The 22,612-nt window shown below is 39.6% G+C and overlaps 1 protein-coding gene across 11 annotated transcripts in view; it reads left to right on the top strand.

Annotated features, from left to right (window-relative positions):
* Positions 1-22,612, top strand: part of DAB1 (DAB adaptor protein 1) — a 1,551,949-nt gene that overhangs the window by 1,382,861 nt on the left and 146,476 nt on the right. For 8 of the 11 annotated variants that reach the window (NM_001379461.1, NM_021080.5, NM_001379462.1 and 5 more), the window contains one exon: positions 18,437-18,576. In NM_001379461.1, the coding sequence (NP_001366390.1) occupies positions 18,437-18,576 (140 nt within the window). Of the gene's footprint in view, positions 1-18,436; positions 19,858-22,612 lie in introns of those variants that run through there. The other 3 variants (NM_001353980.2, NM_001365794.2, NM_001365795.2) reach the window with 1 other exon arrangement.

Genomic DNA, 22,612 nt, shown 5'->3' with positions numbered 1-22,612 from the left:
ATGCCTTTGTATTAGGAAGTGACCCTGCCTTCCACTAAGGTGCTCAAGCCAAAACCCAGAGTTACACTTGTTCTTCCCTTTTCCTGTCTCTTCCACAATCTAAAAATAATCCCTTTCTGCTCTTCCTCCAGCATATTTTTTGATTCAGCCCATTTCTTATCTAGTGCTGTCATCCTTGTCTCGTCACTCATCTGGATTATTAGCCCCTGCTTCTACTTCTCCCCCTTTCCACAGAGCATTCAGAAAAATCTTTACAAAATGTGAGTCATGCCCCTGCATAAGGTACCGCCGCCCCCACCACCAGCGTGGCTTTCCATTGCACTCAGAACCAAACCTGCCCTCCTTACCTTGCCTCACAAAGCAGCACACGAGGGAGCCCTGCCTCCCTCCTGACTTCCACCTCTAACCCCCTTCCCCTTGCTTGCTCTGCTGTGATCATACTAGCTCCTTTCTGTTTTATAAACAGGCCAAACACATTCCCTCCTGGCATGACTGCCCTTTTCTTGTTCACATCTCCTTTCAAATGTCATTTCTACAGAAATGCCTTCATGGACCAGCCTGTCTAAATTAATTGTTCCCCACCCTTTCCCAGTCACTCCTTGTTTCATCAGACTATTTTATCCCCTTCATAACACTTATCCCTATCTGGAATGATCTTGTTCATTATTTATTTACTTCCTCATTATCTTCCTTCCCCCTCTCAGATCAGCAGCTCTAGGAGAGCGGGAGCTTCCTCCCTCTGGTTCATGACTGTGCCCTGGGACTTGGGCCAGTGCTTGGCACGTAGTGGGCATTCAGTACATGTTGGTGGAATGAATGAATATTAGGCTGACCATGATAGAAATCCAGGGAGTCAGGGCTGAGGCCTGTGCCCTTGCATTCATTAGGAACAACTGTCGGGTGGGGACACTTAGTCACTGTCTCTTCCAGCACATTCTACTTAAACCCTCTATCACTGAGATTTATCTCTGAGTTTAATCAAATGTAATTTATATTGCAGCCTTCTCAGTAAATAATTGATTTGCACTCTCTGTTTTCTTCATCACAAATACCCCTTTGTACTCTAAAGAAATAATTTAGTCAGTCAATAGTATAACACAGCACTCTTGTTTAGAAGGCAGATGGAAGATAAAACATAAGAGTTGTTCACACCAGAATATACCAAGACCAAAATAATCTCCTTTACAAAAAATACTCCGCAAACAAGTTGCTGGCAGAGACACCCACTTAAATCCCTTGGATTTTTTCTAATGGAGGTGACCCCATGGAAGTTGTAGCTGCTACAGAAGAAAGTTTGTGGCCAATTGCAGGTTGCACGTGCAAATAGAAACTCTTGTTCATTTGTGGTTTAATTAACCTCTGTCTAGGTCCAAGAGCAAGCCTTCAAATGCCTAGTGTGAACACACATTGGGTGAGAGCTCTAAGTTAGGGGTTCTGCACTGCCTATGACCTCAGACTCACTGAGTAAATCCAATTCTCCTGCTTCCTCCTTCTTTGCAATTGGTCCCTCAGGCTTCCATGGGCAATGTGTCCAGAGCTTACGGGCATTCTTTTGTAATCCAAATTATACAAACACTCCTCCTTTGCCCTTCTGTGCTTCTCCCAAAGCAAGACAACCAGAGAGGTAAATTTTGCATTTGTTTTCACACATTTGTCTATTTTGAGCCCACACTTTTCTGGTGCAGAAGAAAGGAGGGGAAGATGATGAAGCAACAACTCTGATAAGCGTGAAAGGCTCCAAGGAGGCATTCTCGCAGGGAAAATGCATCTTTTCACTGCCTTTAGTAAGAATCCTCAATATTGTTTTCTTTATTCTGTTTTCATTGGAAACATCTTAACTATCCAATTATAGGGGACTGCTTAAATAAATTGTGATACATCTGTAGGATGGGCTATTGCACAGCCAATAAGAATCATGTCACAAAAATATCAATATGGGAAAACATATATAATTTACGCTGCCAGATGAAAAAAGCAAGACACAGATTTATAGTATGAACTTTTTTTTTTTTTTTGAAGAATGGGTGTTTGCGTGTGTATGCACTTAGGGAAAAGCTTGGAAGAGTATACACTTGAATGCAACCATAAATGTACCTGGGTGGTGTTATGGGTGGCTTTCCTCTCCTTTTTCTCTTCTACACTTTCCAAATGTTAAGTCTTGAACATGTTTCCCTTTGTAATTAGAAAGTTAAAAAAATAAAAAGCACTTGTTTAAAAGAACTGAAATACAAAAATTTTAAAAATACATTTGTTATTTTTTATTTGGAAAAAAGGTCATATTCACTCCTCATCAGCTAATACGACTTTGTCAGTGCCTGGTACCTGTTATTATGTGTATTAGCCAAAGGGAAGCAAGTTGTGAACTTTAGAAAGGCAAATTTCACTGCATCTCCTGGTTCTGGTGGTAGTGAGGCTGCCTTTGGATGGGTGATCACCCTGCTCTGTCTTACAGGTGCAGCCCAGCTGCCCAGGATGGCTGGCAAACACGCAACAGTTTTGCCGGGGGACTTTGAGTTGCCTTGGGTAGGAAAAGTTTTAGCTCTGGTTGTTCTCTTTTGATTAGGCTTAGCCTCTTGGAATCTGATCAGTATTAGTTTACATTATCTGAGCACTCGGTGCTGCCTCTGAGCACCACGCCTGTCATTCTTGGATTATTGCACGAACTTTCTGGCTTGTCTCTCCATATCAAGACTCTTTCAGACTCTCCCCCAAATGCATTGATTTTGTACTGTCTTTGGTGGAGTCCCTAGGAAACCAGTGACTGAGACAAAGATTTGCTGTAGGACACTACAGCAAATTCCCAATAAGGGAATGTCCTCTGAATCAGAACCGCTGGAGGAGTGAAGGTGGTAGGCTCTGGCAGAGGGAAGAGTTGAACCGTGATGCAGTTGCAGCAAAGGCGTCACCTGCTCCCACTATCCCGTGGGAGTTTTCCTTCAGGATTGTCTCAAACTGAGACATGGGGCCTGGGTGTTTATACCCAGCCCCATCTAATCAACCAGTTATTGATTGGATGCTGCTACTAGGAGGAGGGATATGATTGCAGGCAGTTCCGACAATCATCCTGCAAGGTAAGCATTATTTCCTCAATTGTAGTGAGATGAAGTGACTTGCTCTTGACCAAGAAGATCCTGAATGGCAACACCAGATGAGAATGGAGGTTTCTCCTGGTATCTGTCCTTTCTCATTCATTACCCTGGTCCTCTTCACCTTTGACTGTAGATCCAGCTTTCCTGCTGTATTTCATGTGCATCATTCAGCCTTGCCTTCATCCGTGCAGCACCACAACCAAAATAGGACCCTTTGGTTACAAATGACAGAAGCACAAATAAATATCATGACTGTGGATTCAGATCTGGCCTTTCCCTGTCTCATGCAGTCCTATTTCTTACCCAGCCTCAAGCTTTGGATTCTCTTCCTTTCAGCATTCTTTTCTTTACATGCCTTTCTTTTTTAGCACACCTGCCCCTGCCTTTGCTAGCTCTGTGAACTTGGGCCAGTCTTTATCTCCTGGAGTCTCAATTTCCTCAACTATAAGAAGGGATTAATAATGCATGTCATGCTAGGTGGCTGTGAGGAACAAAAGGACAATGAAAAAGAACTTACATATTGTTTAAAGCCTATTCTGTGCCTGCCTTGCAGAGTGGTATCAACATGAAATAAACTATTATATACCTAGTGTAATACTTTACTCTTAATGGCAACACATACCAAAAAACCTGCTTTGTTTCTTGGGCACCAGGAAAAAGACACAAGCCCACTGATGAGAAAATCTAAGAAGCAAATGCTGTCACGCCATCCTTAGGCTGTGGGTAAGCAAGTGTGTAAAAATAAAGCTGCAGATTTAAAGTCAGACTAGTCACTCCTTGATTTGCCCAGATGAGCAGGATAGGCTACGCTCCTCAAGCCTTCATGGGAGGACGTCAGAAAGACTCAGCAACTGATGATTATAGCTGTCTTTACCGTCTTAAAACCAAGAGGTTTTTCCTTTTTTTTTTTTTTTTTTTTTGTCTTGCTGCTTCTACCTTGTACGTGAAGATATTATTGGCCATTTTTCTATGATTCCTGGCTTTCCTTTGTCTGGAAAAATTGCTGGGAGTCATAGAACTGCTGAGCCTGATTAATAGTACCTGAGACCTTTGGGCCCTGTGACTGAAATTTAAACTTGGTTTTCCAATGTTCTAAGACACTATGCATATGTGTGTTGGGGGTGGCAGGGTGGCGTTGGAAACTCTGTGTACAGAAACAGCAATTTCCCTTTTGATATATATTTATTTATTCAGCAAATATTAAGTACCCACTGTATGCCAATGACTGTTCTTGTTGTATGGGATACACAGAAAACAAATTTAAGAAAATGTTAGCCCTCATAAACTTACAGTCTACCAAGGGGAGATTGTAGGGCCTGGCTTTTTCTTGCTTTAATTTGCCATTGCATGTGGGAACCACCACCAGGGATATAAGCATGCCCTTAACTGATTTGGCATGATCATCTCTTTAGTCTTTTCCTCAGAGAAACTAGAAAATGGTGCTTCAAGAGACACTGCTAGGAGATAGTCTAAGGGTTTTTGCAGAGACAGAATGTGGCTGATGATCATTTTCTTTTGTTATTAAGAATTTATTAATAATGTCCTACAGTCTTAAAATATATTTTTCAAATACAATAAAAGACCCAGAGGAAGAAAAAAAAAACCTGAAATAAATACTAGTAGACCTTTGCCAGAGAAATGCAAAAAGGACCAACTATTGGAGCAGAAGAATTGGGTTATGCATATGAGGTCCCACAAGCGTCCTGTCTTATAACTCAGTGGTTCCTGATCTGGTTCTGCCTCAGAATCATTGGCCAAACTTTAAAGTTCAGATTCCCAGGTTCTCAGATGAGAATCTCTGCCTGGTACCATAGCACTTCACTTTCTACAGAAACGTGAAAATTGATTCCAGATGCCTTTTATGCAAGGCACTTTTCAGAAGTACCAGAGAACATTTTTAAAGAAAATGTGTGCATGAGTCATAGGTTGAATATTATTTTAGCTCTTTAATTAGTTTACCTTTTAGCAATAATGACAGCAACCATGTTCATAAAAACACATTTTAACAGCCCCCTAAGTGTGTTTTTCCTCTTGTTCTGCTCACTACCCAGCTAGTTAATTACATAAAATCAGCATTCTCTCCTACACAGCCAGCATACATAATTATTTGTCCATTGCAAATCAACACCTGGATAATTGCAAGATAGAATTTAGAGTAAAATAAGTTATCTGTCTGCTGGGCCCTGAAATTCCCCCACAATCTGTTCTTAAATTGGATAGCCTAACAGACAATAGGGCTCTTTCAGCAATGGACAGAATGATGTTTGACAGCCAAGGGGGAAAGTAAAACAACCTTTCGAAATTTTCTTATCATCAGGATGGATAGCCTCTGATTCAGATAGATATGCAGAAGGAGGGAGAATCTCTCTGTGTTAATAATTTACAAGGTGATCTCCCTATTGCCTTCGGGAAGGAACATCCTGTTCTTAATTGCACCCTTATTCCCAGGCAACAACAACAAAAAAATCCCAAACAGCTGGGACCATTCCTTCCAATGCACTACAACTTTGCTATGGTTAGCTTTGGGCCACTGATGCTTAATGTAAAATATATTACTTGGGGAGAAAGAAGGCAGTAAATATTTACTGAATGACTTCCATGTGCCAGGCAGTGTGCTAAGAGCATAACATATATTATTCCTATGGTCCTAGTAACTATTCTACAGAGGAATACAGGTAACCACAATGTTTTGCATATGAAGAGCCTAACACTCAGAAACTTTAACTTGCTTATACACAGGAAGTAGCATACCGTGATTTAAATGTGATGCCTTCCGACCTCAAAGGGTTAGGCAGCTACGCCCTCCTTAGCAGCGTGGCCTCGCACCAATGACTTCATTTCCCTGTGCCTCCGTTTCCTCCTTCTCTGAATGTGTTGCAGTTCTTTCCTCCAAGGTTGTTGTGAAGTTTAAATAAAACAATTTATGAGAATGGGACAGGCATGCTCATTTCTCAGGTAGCATTCAGCTTTTCACATCTCCTTCCTAATTCTAGCCCCCATTATGGATCGTATGTTTGTGTCTCCCCAATATTAATATGTTGAAGCCCTAACTCCCAATGTAATAATATTTGCAGGTGGGGTCTTTGGGAGATAATTAGCTTTAGATGACATCATGAAAGTAGAGTATTCATGATGGGATTAGTGGCTTTGTAAGAAGAGGAAAGGAGGCCAGGGCTTTCTCTCTCTCTCTCTCTCTCTCTCTCTCTTTCTCAGTGCATGCACAAAAAGAGATCTTCTGAGCACACAGTGAGACAGTGGCAATCTGCAAGCCAGGAAGGGGGCCCTCACCAACAACCAAATCTTCCAGCACTTGATCTTGGACTGCTCAGCCTCCAGAACCATGAGAAATAAATGTCTGTTGTTTAAGCCATGCAGTCTATGGTATTTTATTATAGTGGTCTGCGCTGATAAGACATCTCCTTAGATGTTTAAGTATCTAATGCACAGAAGTGAATACTCAGCTTGATATAAGAAATATGTTGGAGTTGACCCCTCCAAGACAGGGAAATATTGTAACTGTCAAAAGTTAAAAGAATTCACAGCCAGAATGACCACATTAGGAAAAAAAAATACTTATCTTGGCTGTGCTTATTATAATCTATGATGAGTGGGAGAGATAAGATAATAGTCTTGGATGTGAAATAACTTTTATTTGGCCATTAATGGTCTTTAGAGCGCAGCCTGGAGTGGGAGGCCATTTACGACTCCAGTGGACTCTGTGGGCTCTGCTTCAGTGTCATAAAAAATGCTAATTGCCTTCCTCCTTCGGATCCTGACTCCTGACAGAGGCATTTGATTTTGTTGAAGCTTCTGCAAGGTGACTCCCATTCTGGGACCTCAACATTGGCAGAGACTTCTGCTGCTTCTGCTTTGAGACAGTTACTTAGTGTACTTCCTGACAGAATCTTCGAGGTCTGTGGAAAATGGGGAATTTACTCTGTGCCCAGAAGAATCGGCTGGATTTAAATTCAGAGGAGAGCCATTCCCCCGGTTAGGAGATGATCAGGTTGTGATGAGGTTGAGAAATGCTCTTCTCTAATGGCATAAAGCAAAGCCAATATTAAAATGACTATGAGTGTGATGTTTATTTTATCCCATTAGGAATTTTATTCCTTGAGGACTAAATGAATCATACTTATGGACTGTATAAAATAAGATCTGTATGGGAGGGGTTTTTAATAACCCCTTAGATGCCTCCCCCAAGTGGTCCTGACTCCTGGAGTCCATTACCCACTTTAGCATAAATAAATTAATTAAATCATTTTTTCAGTTATTCAGCAGATCTGGACACCGCAGGTCTGCTCTGTTCTGGCATCACGCTAGGTTCAGAGGACACAGTCAAATGAATTTCAGTTCCTACCCTTATAGAGTTCAAGTGTAGAGGAGACAGTTGGAGAAGAGGAACTAGCAAGGGCAAAGGGCATGGAGGTGCCTAGCCCATAAGGCTGGAGTTAAGGGTGGGGGCAAGAGGGCACAAATGAGGTGAGAGAATAAGAGGGAGGAGAGCCTGTGGCAGCTGGGTGGAAGAGGATAACATTTTTCATTTTTGGTCAGATAGTGCATGATGAGATGACACTTGGTGTGGATCTTTTTGGAAGCAGTGTGGGGCATGGATTAGAGGGTGAAAGCGGAGGCACATCTACTGTGACTCCTGGAAGCCTCCAGACTCTTTTAAGTGATATATATGTGTACCCCAGCCCTGCTACACATTAAAGACAGCAGCCTACAGGGTTCCCCATGATCCATTATGAAATTCAAAATGGTTGATTCTTAGGGCATCCAAATTGGGATGGAAGAAGTCAAATTATCATTGTTTGCAGATGATATGATCTTCTATTTGGAAAAACCTAACAACTCCACAAAAAAACTGTTAGAACTGATAAACCAGTAAAGTTGCAGGATACAAAATCAACATGCAAAAATCAGTAGCATTTCTATATGCTAATAGTGAACAATCTGAAAAAGAAATAAAGGCAATCTAATAAAATGAAATACCTAGGAATTAACCAAAAAAAAAAAAAAAGAAAGATCTCTGTATTGAAAACTGTAAAACACTGATGAAAGAAATTGAAGAGGACACTAAAAATGGAAAAATATTCCATGTTCATAGGGTGGAAGAATCAATATTATTAAAATGTCCATACTACCCAAAACAGTCTCCAGATTCAATACAATCCTTATCAAAATACCAATAACGTTCCTCATAGAAATAGAAAAAAAAATCCTAAAATTTATATGGAACCACAAAAAACTCAGACTATCTAAAGCCATCCTAAGCAGAAAAAAAAACAAAAACAAAAACAAAACTGGAAGAATCACATTACCTGACTTCAAATTATACTACAGAGCTATAGTAACCAAAACAGCACCGCACTGGCCTAAAAATAGACACATAGACCAATGGAACAGAATAGAGCACCCAGAAACAAATCAACACACCTACAGTGAACTCATTTTCAACAAAGTTACCAAGAATATACACTTGGGAAAAAAAAGTCTCTCTAATAAATGGTGCTGAGAAAATTGGATATCCATATGCAGAAGAATGAAAGTAGACCCTTTCTCTTGCCATATACACAGATCAAATCAAAATGGGTAAAGACTTAAATATAAGACCTCAGTCTATTAAACTTCTACAAGAAAACATTGGAGAAAATCTGCAGGACATGGGTCTGGGCAAAAATTTCTTCGGCAGTAACCCACAAGCACAGGCAATGAAAGCAAAATTTCCATGTACAAATGGGATCACATCAAGCTAAAAAGCTTCTGCACAGCACAGGAAAGTAAAGACATAACCCACAGAATGAGATAAAATATTTGCAAACTACCACCCTGAAAAGGGATTAAATATAAGGAGCTCAAACAACTCCATAGGAAAAAATCTAGTAAGCTGATCAAAAATTGGACAAAGATTTGAATGGACATTTCTCAAAAGAAGACATTCAAATGGCAAACAGGCATATGAAAAGGTGCTCAATGTCATTGATCATCAGAGAAATGCAAATCAAAACTACAATGAGATATCATCTCGCCCCAGTTAAAATAGCTTCTATCCAAAAGACAGGTAATAACAAATGCTGACAAAGATGTGGAGAAAAGGAAACCCTTGTACACTGTTGGTGAGAATATAAATTAGTACAACCACTATGGAGAACAGTTTGGAAGTTCCTCAAAAACTAGAAATAGAGCTACAATATGATCTAGCAATCCCACTGCTGGGTATATACCCAAAAGAAAGGAAATCAGTATATCAAAGAGATATCTGCACTCTCATGTTTGTTGCAGCACTGTTGACAATAACTAAGATCTGTGAGCAACCTTATTTGTTGTCCATCAACAGATGAATGGATAAAGAAAATGTTACATTTACATAATGGAGTACTATTCCGTCATAAAAAAGGATGAGACTCTTGTCATTTGCAACCACATGGATGGAACTGGAGATCATTAGGTTAAGTGAAATAAGCCAGGCACAGAAAGACAAACATTGCATGTTCTTACTTATTTGTGGGATCTAAAAATCAAAACAATTGAATTCATAGAGCTGGAGAGTAAAAGGATGGTTACTAGAGGCTGGGAAGGGTAGTGGGGGCTGCAGTGGGGATGGCTAATGGTACAAAAAATAGAATAAGTTCTACTATTTGATAGCACAACAAGGTGACTATAGCCAATAATAATGTAATCATACATTTTAATATAACTGAAAGAGCATAATTGGATTGTTTGTAACACAAAGGATAAATGCTTGAGAGATAGATACTCCATTCTCCATGATGTGATTAGTATGCATTGCATGTTTGTATCAAAACATGTTGTGTACCCCATAAATACATACACCGGCCAGGGGTGGTGGCTCATGCCTGTAATCCCAACACTTTGGAAGGCCGAGGCAGGTGGATCACAAGGTCAGGAGATCGAGACCATCCTGGCTAACACGGTGAAACCCCATCTCTACTAAAAAATACAAAAAAATTAGCCAGGTGTGGTGGCGGTCGCCTGTAATCCCAGCTACTCAGGAGGCTGAGGCAAGAGAATGGCGTGAACCTGGGAGGTGGAGTTTGCAGTGAGCCGAGATTGCGCCACTGCCCTCCAGCCTGAGTGACAGAGCAAGACTCCGTCTCAAAAACAAACAAACAAACAAACAAAAAAAAAACCCCATACATATACCTACTATGTAACCAGAAAAATTAAAATAAAAAAACCAAAATGGATGATTCTTAGAAACCCAAATGTCTCATTATGATTGTTAGTTTGCTGTGACTCCCTGAGGATTTTTCAAGTTGTTATGTCTCATTCAGAGAGATCTGCAAAAAATCATTGTGAGATACAGGTACTCCCCGGGTTATGCAAGATAATCTGCTGGTACCTGAGAAAAATATAAGATGTCTATTTATGTTTGATTTTAATCCAAAAAGTTCTAAGAAAAAGTAAGCTTTAATAATACTATATGGGGCTGGGTGCGGTGGCTCATGCCTATAATCCCAGCACTCAGGGAGGCCGAGGCAGGCAGATCACTTGAAGCCAAGAGTTCGAGACCAGCCTGGCCAACATGGTGAAACACCATCTCCACTAAAAATACAAAAATTAGCCAGGTATGGTGGCGTACGCCTGTAATCCCAGTGATTCGGGTGGCTGAGGCACGAGAATCGCTCGAACCCGGGAGGCAGAGATTGCAGTGAGCTAAGATCATACCACTGCACGTCAGCCTGGATGACAGAGTGAGATTCTGCCTCAAAATAGTAATGATAATAATAATATATAGATTATCAGTAGTACATGTATGTAATTTATACAGAAATATATCTATCTTAGAGTTACGTGCTCAAAAATGTTTTACTAATAGTGGTATGTGATTGTAAAACTGGAGACCTAAGTTCTGTGGATTTATGAAGACCTGGGTTCAAATCCTAGCTTTAGCACTTACCAACTCAGTTCTGTTCCTAGATTTAACATATGTGGACAACCACCACATAATGTTGCTATAACAATAAACTGATATATCCAATGTACATCATACAGTTATAAATATTAGTTATAAATAAATTAGTTATAAATATATTAACTATTCATAAATATCATCGTATACAATTATCACTTGGAGACACTTTTGAAACCATCTTTTCCCTATGAACATTCATTGAGCAGCTGGGGAGATTGAACCTCAAGGGCAAGTGACATCACATAGGTGAAGGTACAGTAGCAGAGATAACATCTGAATCCAGGCCTCTTTCCTTCTTTCTTTCCAGGCAGTTACTGCTTTTCTTTCAGGGGGCTTGGTTTCCAGGCAACTCTATGATGCTGCATAACCCCTATATCTTCCTCCTTTGGAATTCAAATCAGTGCTACATTGAAAATTCAATTCTCGGATTACTTGAAGAGCCTTGGATTGAGATCCCAGATAAAGCATTCCCTATTAGTTGTTGGCAATTAGTTTGTTTATGGAACCAAGTGAAGCAGGTGTATCAGAGCAGAAATCTTCAAACCATTCGATACAGGATTGCTTTCCTCTGAGCCAAGTAGGAAAGTGTTAAGGATGTGGTGCACCCTCCCCTACCGCACTGGCACTCCTGACCTGCCAGAGGTATGCTCACCCAGACAGCCACAAATGATACCAAGTAGTATTTCTCACACTTAAGGAGATCCCTTTTAAAGATTAGAAAAGACACCCGGCATGGTGGCTTATGCCTGTAATGCCAGCACTTCGGGAGGCCGAGGCAGGCAGATCACTTGAGGTTAGGAGTTCGAGACCAGCCTGGCCAACATGGGGAAACCTCATCTCTACCAAAAATACAAAAATCAGCCGGGCATGGTGGCGGGCACCTGTAACCCCAGCTACCCAGGAGGCTGAGGCGGGAGAATCGCTTGAACCTGGGAGGTGGAGGTTGCAGTGAGCAGAGATCGAGCTACTGCACTCCAGCCTGGGCAATAGAGCGAGACTGTGTCTCAAAAAAAAAAAAAAAAAAAAAAAATTAAACATTAGAAAAGAAATTTTCAGGTTTTTAAGAAACCAGAGTTGAAGTCTATGAAAGTATCTTTGAAATATATTATTACTAACAACTTTTTTTCTTCACAAATTTAAATTTTTAAAAATATTTAAGAGATTATTATCTATTTGAAAACCCCAAATTGAAACTTTGGAAAGTTTTGTTCTGAGGACCCCAGTCTGAGAAATATCATCTTACAAGGGATTCTCTACATTGCTGTTCTCTAGTGATCTTTGAGAATTACTCTGAATCAATTCCATCTGCTTGGTCCCTCTGGCTGGTGCAGAATCTCACTGGAAGGGATTTAGGAACCTGTTGTTGCTGTTGTGGTTTTTACAGGGGATTCTTCATTACACTAAACTTAGAAAATTACAGCAAAACTCCATTGACTTCCCACTAGGATATAAGTTCCCTGAGTACAGGGATATTTATATGTTTTGTTTCCTGCAGCATCTGGAGGACCTTAGAACACGTATATAGTAGACACTCAATAAATATCAAATAAAGGAATGAATGAATCAATTAATTACAGCCTTATACTTCCCCACATGTTGCTATAATGTTCTTTTTAATCTAATCCTCACAACAAACCTGGGTCATTAATAGACCTTGTGGTCTAAGAACAATGTTCAAAGGCTTTAACTTGGCTTCCAAGATGCTTCATGATTTGTCTGCCCTTTGAGTGCATCGCTCTAGCCATGCCCTCTAGTACTGTGTTTTGCAAGTACATTAATTGGCCCTGGCTCACCGCAGACCCATCTAATCAAAATCTGTAAGGTGCCAGGGTTTTTTAAATTTCTTTTGAGACAGGGTTTTCTTATGCTGCCCAGGCTGGTTTCAAACTGCTGGGCTCAAGCAATCCTCCCTCCTTGGCCTCTCAAAGTGCTGGGATTGCAGGTGCACTCCACCAGTATAGGCTCTGGGGTGGTGTTTTTAAAAAATTCCCAAGGTGATTCCAGAAGATAATTAGGATTGCTAAACAGTCTAAGCCAACTACTCACTGTTCTCCAAATATCCTTGTACATTTTGTTTATCTGGAAAGCTTCTCACCTTCTTCCCTACCTCTTGAAACCCTCCTTTTTTACAAGGCTTTACTCAAATGCCATCTCTCCTCTGTAGCTCTTCCTAATCATCTCCCTACCAAATACAGTTTCTCCACCCCTTAGGAAAACACATTGCTTAACAAAATATGACCAGAGCTGTGAGTGTCATATAGTGCCAAGGGGTGGAGAAATTGTATATGACGCCTTTTGAAATGTGGCTTCCTCTGGGCAGGAGAAAGGACACTTTTTGCTCACCCATGTACCACTGGAAGCTAGCACAGTGCCTAGCATGAAGAACACTGAGGCAGGACAGTATACAAATGATGATCATATAATTAATTAGGGTAACCACACAGTCTCTTAACCAAACTGGAATACTTTTGAGAATAATGAGGGATGCTAGTAACAACAGTGTCAGTACAAAAGTTTCTGGGGCTGTCGCAGACAAACTGAAAGTATGATCACCCAAATAACAATGACCAATGTTGATTAAGCTCTTACTGTTTGCCAATCACTCACTGTCTTGTATGCTATTTGTCATTTCTTTAATACTGGGAGCACCCATTAGTATCTATACTTAACTGCTTAGGACACTGTGGCAGACATGTAAAGGAACTTACCAACGATTATACAACTAAGGAGGTAGGTCAGAGAGCTGGGGCTTGAACTCAGGTCCTCTGAATCCAGAACTCATGTTCTAGACCATCAAGGCCTATTGTCTCTCAGTGGGAGAACTCAAGCCTTGGAGTAGGACAGGATGAGAAGTAACTTTAGTTACCTCTTGGGCTCCAGTTTCTTCATCCATAAAATAATAACAGTGGTGGTTTTCAGTAACCTTGGAAGATTAAATGACATAAGGCATAAGAAGGGCATGTGTGCTTGTGAACTACTTGTCTTTAAGAGTAAGACGTCTGCCAGTTTATCCATAAGACATCTACTCAAGTAGCTGTGACACGAAAAAATGAGGCTAAATTCTGTAGCAGAACACAGAGGTAGGTCATAGGAAGCCCCATAGTGATTCCTATGGTTCCTATGGTTCATGGTTAAGACCATGAAATTTTACACAAGACCTGGGTTCAAACTGAGGCTCTGGGATTTGAATAGATATTTCTCCAAAGAAGATATGCAAATGAACAATAGGCACATGAAAAGATGCTCAACATCATTACTCCTTAGGGAAATGCAAGTCAAAGCTGCAATGAAATATCACTTAACACCTACTAGGATGGCTAAAGTAAAAGAGACAGACAATAACAGATGTTGGGAAGAACATCTGGTAAAGAAATTGGAACCTTATATTTTGCTAGGAGGGTTGTAAAATGGTGCAGACACTTTGGAAAAACAAATTGACAGTTCTCCAAAAAGTTAAATATAGAGTTACCATATGATGCGACAATTCCTTTCTTCGGAATAATTTTAAGAGAATTGAATATATACAGCCACACAAAAACTTGTACACAAATGTTCATAGCAGCATTATTCATAATAGCTGAAGAATGGAAACAACCCAAAGATCTATGAGCTAATGTGGTATAACCACACAATAGAATAATATTCAGCAAAAAAAGCATTACTGATACATGCTATAACATGGATGAACCTTGAGAACATGCTGCTAAGTAAAAGAAACCAAACCCAAAAAATTGTATATTATAAAATAACAATTATATAAATGTCTAGAATAGGCAAATGTATAAAGACGGGAGGAGATTAGTGGTTGCTTAGCACCAGAGGGAATGGGAAGATAGGGAGTGACAGCTAATGGGTACAGGGCTTCTTTGTGGGATGACAAAAATGTTCCAAAATTAGATAGTGGTGATGGTTATACAATTCTGTGACTATACTAAACCCACTGGATTCTATACTTTAAAATGGTGAATTGTACAGTATGTGAGTTGTATCTCAATATAGCTGTTATTTAAACATTCAGGTTATGCTGTGGACTTTGGGTGTTTGTGTTGTCTTCTGAAAAGAGGACTCATTATGGAGCCTAACTCAAGAGCAAATGTGAAGATTAAATGAGAAATTGCGTGTGAAACCCTTGGCACAGTAACTGTACTAAAAACTCAATAACAGTGACCATATGGGTGATTTTCCTTAAACGTGTGGTCTTTCTCTTGCCCATCTTGAAGCAGAGGGTCAGTGGTGTTTTCAGTAACATAGTCTGGGATTCATGGTGACCTAAAATGCATGAAGACTGATCCTATTCCCAACACCTTTATATTGTATGTGCCTCAGATAGAATTAAAGCCTTATGGCTCCGATATCTGTTATTTATTTCTTAACTAATATAACTGAGACCTTGCTCAAGATGTACTCATGAAAAATTACCCTTTTAATGGTGAAGCATTTAATGAGAAACTGGATTATCTACTGCATAAGTGCCCTTCATACAAATTAGCTTGGCCCTAGGTCCTAATCTAAATTGGGCTCCCTACTTTCCTCTAAATGGCCTAATATTTTCTTATTAATCTCTGCCCTTGTTCACCTGCTATGGCTCTGCCTTCTCTTATGAATCTTCTTTCTCGGCAGAGTTCTGTGTCCTGACAAATGTTTCTTAAGGCTTCTTTGTATCTGACTCATAGACAGTTTTTTAGAGATGACTGATGACTGGAATCTGTTCCATTTTCAAGCTGTCTCTCCATCCTTCCATGGAGTTTTAATGCTGCCAATGTATTGAGTACCATCACATTTGGGCCAGGTGAGTTTTGGTCAAGATAAAGATGGGGCTTTATAAGAAAGTTGCGTAGAAAAGAAGCAACTGATCATGGTGGTTAGGCGAACAGGCTTGAAAACACAGAACACAAGCAAACCACAAACGTGGGTTTTGACATGAGACAAATCTAAGTTCAGGTTCTACTCAGTAAGTTTGGACAAGTTACATGGCCTCTAACACTTTCAGTTTGGAGCCTCATCTATGAAACCTGAATACTCGTACCTACCTCTACAATTATTTTCTGGACTTAACAAGTTGATGCATATAATATGCTTTGTGATGAATGCTACCTGGTATTGTGATTATAATTAAAGTTTGGGGAAGTCTCAGTGGTGAAAGAGATGTTATTATGGACTGAAATAGTGTCATATGTTGAAGAGGAGGATGTTTAGCTATGATATAAGGTGTATTATGGCAAATGTCCCTTTGTTCTTAGCTCTAGTCTCTGACATTCGCTCTTACAGAATGCTGAGGCTTAAGTATTATACGGATTATAGTTTCTGACTAATCATCCCTGTGTTATATTTGCTTTGTGGAATATTACTCAAAGGCTTTAATATATGAGGAGTCAGCAGGGGTGTCATGGAAAAAACAAAAAGAAAACTGGGGGTCAGGACCACAGGTCCAGACCTGTGGCTGGATAGACATAGACATTCCTTCTCTCTGCCTCCCACCCTCCCAGGATTGTGTCTTCTACTTGCTTCTTTTACTGGGCTTATAATAGTGGTGATACTCACGCCTATAATCCCTGCACTTGGGGAGGCCAAGGTGGTGGATTGGTTGAGTCTGAAAGTCTGAGACTGGGCAACATGGCAAAACCCCATCTCTACAAAAATATAGCCAAGTATGACCGTGTGTGCCTGTTGTCCCAGCTACTTGGGAGGCTGAAGTAGGAGACTTGCCTGAGCCTGGGAGGTCGTGGCTGCAGTGAGCTGTGATCGCGCCACTGTGCTCCAGCCTGGGTGATGAAGTGAGATACTGTTTCAAAAAAAAAAAAAAGAAAAACAGTGGGACAGCTACCATTTGTAGAAAAGTTACCATGTAAATACATACTTCACACATACTATCTCACTGAAGTTACTGCTCATGCTAATGCTGTAAGGTAGATACTTTATTGTCATCCAACACATTAAAAAACTGAGGCTCAGACAGTTCAGTTGACTTACGAGAGGGACCTATGATTCCAAACAAGGATGTCTGATTCTAAAGCTTGAACCTTCTTACACACTTAGCGTAATGCAAATACATTTGTATTTGCAGTCACCAAAAACTTAAGCTTCTAAGGGCACAGATATTGTCTCATTCATCTGTTGCCAGTGAATAATAGCACCGGTACAGAGGAGATGCTCAGTAAGGGATGAATGAATAAATGAATGAAATGAAAGTTGTGTTTTGTCAATAGAAAAGTACTATATGATGGTTAGTGATTGCTGTTGTTTTTTTCTATTTTAAGCATGTCTTCCGATAATTCTCAACCCCACAATATAGAAAGGCCTTAGTTTGCACATCTGTAGATAGAGGGAAACAGGCTGAATTATCTCTAATGTCCTCAGCTCTGTGTTTCTGACAGATGAAGTAAGCATGATGAAGGAGAAATCAAGAGTTGAAGTTAAGGATATTATAGGAGATGAATAACAGACAGAAGGACACTCCAGGTTTTAAGAACCAACTGTACAATGTCCAGACCTCTGACTAATCAAAGTATGATGAGGTTAATGATGGGTTTGAATTCCTATGTATTCATCTTATTTCAGACTATGTTTACTTGGGCAAGCTACCTAAACTCTGTGACCTTCGACTTCATCATCTGGAAAATGGAAATGGTTTGCTTGTTGTGAAGAGTGGGGATAAAGTTTACAGAACATCTGGCATGAAGCGCTTGCTCAGTTCAGAGTTAACTTTATTGTCCTCACTTCATGTAGATATGCTTGAGCTCCTGGTTGATGTGTCTTAGCAAAATATTATCTTAATAATTATTGAGAGAGCCTGTTGGAAGGTGCAGACACACAACAGCACATAGTGTGGAAGCCTATTTTCCTGCACACATGACTTACCAGAAGAGATGTCATAAAACCATTTTTTGATAACTGTCCTCAGGTAATTACTCTGGAGTTTCACTGTGAAAGAGCTCATGGAATTGGGTGGGAAGAGGGTCTTGGACCCTGGCCAAGCTATTATTGAATGTTGGCAATGCCAGAGACTCGGTGCTCATATTATTCTAACAACAATTTCGGACATGAACTCTTAGTGGGTGATTATGATCATTTGTTGAATATCTCTTGCTTATCAAACCCTGAATTAGATGCTTCACACATATTATCTGATTTATTTATCATAATACCCTGTTGGGGTGGTTATTTTTAACTTATTTTTCCCTACCTGAGAAAACTGAGTCTCAGAAAGGAGAAGTAATTTGTCTCAGGACTTAAATGGATGGAGTCAGAATTTACATTTAGGAATACTGCTATTCTTTTCTCCTGAGTCCAGTGATTTGACTTTCCGGGAATGTAGATGAAACCAGACAGCGGATCTTGGAATTGTGGATACTCAAAGCCACTGGGGTCTGCACAGCTACATATTTGAATCTGCTTTTTCTCTTTTTAGGTCAGGATCGCAGTGAAGCCACTTTGATAAAGAGGTTTAAAGGTGAAGGGGTCCGGTACAAAGCCAAATTGATCGGGATTGATGAAGTTTCCGCAGCTCGGGGAGACAAGTTATGTCAAGATTCCATGATGAAACTCAAGGTGCTATGCAAACGTTTTCTTTTCAATACTTTGTGTTTAATGTGAATGAGGAAAAGAAGTGATTACCATCATAATTGTAAATAACTTTATTCATTTATTGGTAAATTACTTGGCTTACTGTTGAATCACCATATTTTTTCATTCGGAAGATATTTCAATCATTCAGCAAATGTTTGTTGAGCACCTACTATGTGGAAATATTTTGGTAGGCCCAGGTTTACAATTTTTGAGTGTATCACATTTTATTCCATTTTATTTTCATTTTGCAACTCCTGCAAAAATAAAAGCAAAAAATTATCAAATTGTTTTGTCACCCACATTTTATGAATTTTGCCATCTTGTTATTTTTGAATAAATAATATATATTTTTGCCATATGGTAAGAGATGTTAAGATAAAAGTTGATTTTATTCATTCTTACAGTTTCTACAAATGTACCCCAAGCACTTTAAGATAATATCCTTAAAGTAAAATGTAATTATATTTTGGGATTTGGGGATATCATGAAGAGATTTCTGATTTTAAATGCTATAAAGAAGCCTTTTCTCTGAGGAATCTAAGAAAGAAATTAGATTTTTTTTTTCTTTTTTTTTTTTTGAGAAGGAGTCTCACTCTATCGCCTAGGCTGGAGTGCAGTGGCGCAATCTCGGCTCACTGCAACTTCCGCCTCCTGGGTTCAAGCAATTCTCCTGCCTCAGCCTCCTGAGTAGCTGGGATTACAGGTGCACACTACCAGGCCTGGCTAATTTTTGTATTTTTAGTAGAGACGGGGTTTCACCATGTTGGTCAGGCTGGTCTCGAACTCCTGACCTCATGATCCGTCCGCCTCGGCCTCCCAAAGTGCTGGGATTACAGGCGTGAGCCACTGTGCCCGGCCAGAAATTAGAAATTTTTTAAATATACAAAATAAATTATTTTATTAAACATCCTTAAAAGCATACAAAAATAACACTTTTCTCAGATTCTGATGTCCATATATTGTTTCTTTTAAAAAGTTATAAAATATTGAAAAAATAAATGGTTTAGCAAGAAGTATACAAATATCATATGTATTTCAAACATATATTATTTATTTTTCTGATTACAGAGTTCACTTATGTGCATTATGGAATATTTTGAAAATACAGAAAAATGTAAGGAAGAAAACTGAAATAATCCACAATCCCACAAAGACAATCAGTGTCAATATTTTTGTGTATAATTTACAAGTTCTTTTTGTGGTTTTACATATATAATATATGAATTATACACATATATGTAATAAAATTGGAATTAAAATTTATACAGTTTCCTGTCTTGGGACTTTTTCCCCTTCATCTAACAATATATATGAGCATATATACATATACATAAACATATATATATACATATACATATACATAAACATCTTCAAATAGCCCATGAAGACATGACTTTGTCAATGAAATATTTTCAAATGTAAAAGAAAGAAAAGGAAAAAAAAAAGCTTGTTAGGTGTGTAAAAGTATTAAAGCCTGTAAAATGCATAAATGTAAAATGTGATAAAATCGGCATCACCTTTACTTTCATAGATGCTGAGTAAATCAGTTATTATTTTTGTTTATGCTATACAAAATTTCTAGTAGGTTAGCATATATATCAGATGCTATATTTCCTTATAGTATGGCTCTAAGAATCATGATTTTTAAAACTTAATTTTCTACACTGGATATTCATTTATATGTCTTCTTTTTATTTGTTAACCTGTTATATAAACAAACTTTAATAGTTACGTATTTACTATAAAGTATACTAGAAAAAGGCATAAAAGACATCAATACCATGATTTCACAATCACCTTGGAAGAAGTTAGTGCATCTTTTTTTTTCAATAATTAAGCAATGTTATACAATTTTAGGGTAGTCCAATGATGAGCTTTCTTCTCCCAAGTTCAAATCTGAGTGATTAATAGACAAGAGTTGGACAGGAAGAATTCCAAACTCTAGCTTTCTGACTGATAAATGCTGGCCTGGAGGATGTGACTTGGATACACAGCCACAGTGAGCTTTCTTGAATGAGATGAGCTATTCCACTTGGCTTGCAGGGGTGTTGGACAACTGCAGATCCCCCTGTTCTCCCAACCCCTGCCCTTGCCCAGAGTAGGACCCATGACTCGTGCATGAGATCAGATGAGAATGCAGTCTGTCTTTCAGCAGGCAAATTGCACAGAAAGCCCCAGAAGAGACTGATCTTTGTATGTTCAGCTGCTGCTTCAAACTCTCCAATTAGATAGAGCCATACCTTCCATCCCAAGCGGACCCTAGTCAAAGATGGGGATAAGGGCCAAGATCTTGATTATTGCTGAAGTCCCTCCTCAATGAATATGAAGTCTGGCAAGTGGAGATTTGCTCTAACAAATCTTAATTAAAAGGCATGAAGAAAATGCAAAGATCTGGTTCTCATCCAGAGCCACAAATCTGCTGAGGAGGAGAAAAGAGCTCATGCTCCCAGCATCTGGGAGATGACCATTCACCAGGATCGGTCACACAGCACCTCAATGGCCAGCTGCCTTCTTGGAAACACTGAGGACTAAAAGGATTTGGCCTCTGCTCCCTGAACATTCTCGCTCAGGATTAACATTGGCCCAAGCTAGCTGGACTAGGCCTAGCAATGGCTGCCAACCGTGTGTGTGTGTGTGTGTATGTGTGTGTGTGTGTGTGTGTGTGTGTGTGTGACCTGCAGTGAAGTGCTCCATCTGTCACCTCTTATAACCATGAGGTCCCCAAAGCCCTGAGAGTTTGTCCTACTATAACATACTCCTGTCAGATGCACTGAACTTGTTGAGGGGTCCTTGATTTCCAGACAATTGTGTTTCATTATTTGCAGGTTTCTGAGAAGAATGTTGACATTTCAGCTCCCAGTGGTTTTTCTTTAGGAAACACAGAAACATAAATGATCAATTCTCCATTTGGCCATCTGCCAGGAAAGTAAGAGAGAAGTACAAAATACCTCTTACCCTTCCAAAAAGGCCCACTTACTCACGTTAGGCCATATGAGAAATAAAAAATTCTGTTTCCTTTGCTAGACTCTCTGAAGCTGGTGCGTGTTCTTGCATTAGAGAGTTTTCTCTTGGATTGTAGGGGATTGAGAGGGGATTCATATAATGAGTATGAGTGACCCATTGCCTGTCTACCAACAAAGCATCATGATCATGATCATCATCATCATTTGTTGACATCATATTTTAATTTACAATCCATAAAGCATTTTCACATATATTATATCTTTTGATCATATGAGATACATATTAGCTTCCCTGTTTTGTGAAGAAGAAATCTGAGGGTCAGAGAAGTTAAAGTATTTGCCTCATAGCCTTCATTTAATCTATGATAAGATGAATTCTAACCCAGACACCAAGAGGGCCTGTGTTCGACAAGACACAGTTTTGCCCGTAATTGTATTCTGTTTTGTATTTGCGTTTAATTTATTGAGGTTCCCAAACTAGATCTTAAGCTCCCACCAGTAAGCTACTACCCAGTAGTCACATCATGCACCATTGACTTCTAAAGTAGTCAGCTTTCGGAGACGGTGGCAAAATGGTGGTGATTGAAGTTAAGGAAAAGGATGAGGTCTCCAAAGGCAGTGCCTGGAGAGCTAAGTGCAGAACCTTAAGTATGTCAGTCAGAGTCCTGAAAGAACCAAAATCTACCCCAGAAAGACCAGATGAGGATACTTTAATGAAGGAGTTACTTCCAATGGGTGGGTAAATTTAAGGTAGCAAATGAGGGGTGGTGAGGTACTCAGAATCTAGCAACAGTGGGAAGCTATTACCACTCCTAGGAAGATATATATTTACTGAAACACAGGGAGAGCAGAATTGATAAGAAAGTCTCCCTTTCTCACCACACAAAATATAGCTACTACCAGAGATGCAAATGAAGGATGATAAGGGAGTGGGGAGCAATGCCCTGACCTCTCTCTCCTACCCACTGATCTCCTGCCTCTGCCTTGCATTGGTGGAACACAACTGGAGCCATGGAGAAGGAGGCTCAGGAGATCAGAGAATGCAGTTCTAGTCT

Source organism: Homo sapiens, chromosome 1, assembly GCF_000001405.40.
Source record: "Homo sapiens chromosome 1, GRCh38.p14 Primary Assembly".
NCBI lineage: Eukaryota > Metazoa > Chordata > Mammalia > Primates > Hominidae > Homo > Homo sapiens.
This window is presented reverse-complemented; position numbering and strand designations above follow the sequence as displayed.